Source organism: Homo sapiens, chromosome 11 (genome assembly GCF_000001405.40).
Source record: "Homo sapiens chromosome 11, GRCh38.p14 Primary Assembly".
NCBI lineage: Eukaryota > Metazoa > Chordata > Mammalia > Primates > Hominidae > Homo > Homo sapiens.
Window position 1 is genome coordinate 115,025,554 of NC_000011.10, and position 2,842 is coordinate 115,028,395.

Here is a 2,842-nt window from a genome sequence, read left to right on the forward strand (position 1 = left end):
CGGACCTGTGGCTTCACTGGTGAATTCTACCAAACATTTAAAGAAAAACTAATACCTATCTTTCTCAAACTTTTCTGAAAAATTGAATAGGAGGGAACACTTCCTGACTCATTCTATGAGGACAGCATTACCTTGATGACCAAGTCAGACAATAACACTGCAAGTAAAGAAAATTACAGATCAATATTCCTTATTAACATTGATGCAAAAATCATCAAAAAACATTGGCAAACATGACACTGAATAGTGAAAGACTGAAAACTTTTCCTCTAAGATTAGCAATAAGGCAAGGATGCTTGCTTTTACCACTTCTATTCAACATAGTACTAGAAGTTCTAGCCAGAACAATTATGCAAAAAAAGAGAAAAGAAAAGAAAGAAAAAGCATCCAAATTGGAAAAAAAAAAATGAACTTACTTCTTGCTGTTTTTGCAGAGGATTATTATGTAGAAAACCCTAAGGATTCAAAAATATATATCTGTTAGAACTAATAAATGCTGTCACAGAAAAGTAGCAAAATACAAAGTTACCACTAAAAACTCAGTTTAACAATCTGAAAAAAAATTACAAAAACAATTACGTTTATAATAGCATCAAAAATAATAAAATGCTTTGAAATTAACCAAGGACATGAAAGACATACAATGAAAACTACAAGATATTGCTGAAAAAAAATTAAAGACATAAATAAATGGAAATATCTTGTGTTCATGAATTGGAAGGCTTATTGTTAAGATGTCAATACCACCCAAAGTAATCTACAGATCTGATGCAATCTCTATCAAAATCCCAAAAACAATTGTTGCAGAAACAGTAAAACCTGTTCTATATAATTCATGTGGAATCTCAAGGGACCCTGAATAGCCACAGATACCTTGAAAAATAGCAAAGGCATGTCTCACATGGCAGCAGACAAAAGAAGAGGGCTTATGCAGGAAAACTCCCTCTTATAATAACCATCAGATCTCAGGAGACTTACTCACTATCACGAGAACAGCATGGGAAAGACCTGCCCCCATGATTCAATTACCTCCCAGTGGGTCCCTCCCACCACATGTGGGAATTCCAGATGAGATTTGGGTGGGGACACAGCCAAACCATATCATCATGCTATCTGATAAGGGATTAATATTCAGAATATATACAGAACTCTTAAAACTCAACAACAGAAACCCAATCTGATTCAAAAATAGGCAAAGGACTGGAATAGACATTCATCTAATAAACACATGAAGAGATGCACATCATCATTAATCATTAGGGAAATACAAATCAAAACTACAAGCCATAACACCTCACACCCATTAGAATGGCTACTTAAAAACAAACAAAAAAAAAAACCATAAAATAACAAGTACTGGTGATGATGTGGAGAAATTGGGACCCTTGTGCACTGTTAGTAGGAATGTAAAATGGTACAGTTGTTGTAGAAAACAGCATGGCAGTTTCTCAAAAAAATTAAAAATAGAATTATCATATGACCCAGTAGTTTTACTTCTGAATATATATACCCAAAAGAATTGAAAGCAAGATCTCAAAGAGATATTTGTACACCCATATTCATAGCAGCATAATTCACAATAGCTAAAATATGGAAGCAAGTGCCCATTGACAGATGAAAGGATCAGCAAAATGTAGCATACATACACAATGGAATATTATTCAGCCCTAAAAAGGAAAGAAAGTCTGACATATGCTACAACATGAATGTATCTTGAGGACAAAATGCTAAGTGAAATAAGCCAGTCACAAAAAGACAAATACTGTATGATTCCACTTATATGAGGTAGAGTAATCAAAATCATAGAGACAGAAAATAGAATGGTGCTTGCCCGGTGCTGAGGGGAGGGGGAAATGGGGCATTATTGTTTAATGTGTGTAGAGTTTCAATTTTACAAGATGAAGAGGTATGGAGATGGATGGTGGTGATGGTTGCACAACATTATGAATGCATTTAATATGCTAAATTATACATTTAAAATGGTTAAGATGGTAAAAAAAAAAGTAAAGGATAAATGTTACCAAAAAATAAAGCAAAGATGTAGAAATCAATAATAAATCTGTGTAAATAATTATTGAAACAGTGGAGATTAAAAATAACAGACTACTTAGCATAATATTAAAATAAACTAAAAATCTAAATGAAATGGATAAATTCATAGGATAATACAATTTATCAAATTTGACCTTAGTAGAAATCAAAAGCTTAAAGAAACCAATTTCCATAGAAAAAAATAGAAAGTCATAATAGAACTATTCCACAAAAGAAACATCAGGCTTGAATGATTTCACAGGTGAATTCCACCAAACGTCCAAAGATCAGAAAATCTTAATACCACTTAATTGTTTCGAAGCATAGAAAAAGAAAAAAATTCTAAAAAATTTAATGAAGGAAGTATAACATTTCTACCAAAATTTGGTAAAAATAGCACCTTCCCAAATTTATAAACAAATGGCCTTTTCGAATATTGACGTAAAAACTACTGAATTAAATATTAGCAAACAGATTGAAAGATCATATTAAAAAGAGAATTATCATGACTAACTAGGATTTATTCCAGGCATGAAAGAATAGATCAATATTTAAAAATCTATTAATATAATTTACTATATTAATAGAGGCAAATAGGAAATGAATATAATTTTCTCCAAAGACCCTAAAAATAAAATAAAATTCCAAGCTTCAATAAATTTCCAAACACAATCCAGGTAAGGACTGATGGATATTGCTGAATAAGATTTTCAGAATGCATATCTCAGTCCTGAAGCTAGAATCTTACTCCATTGGGAAACACTAGAGGCATTCCCTTAAAGCCCCTAAACAAAGCAAGCTTTCCCACTAT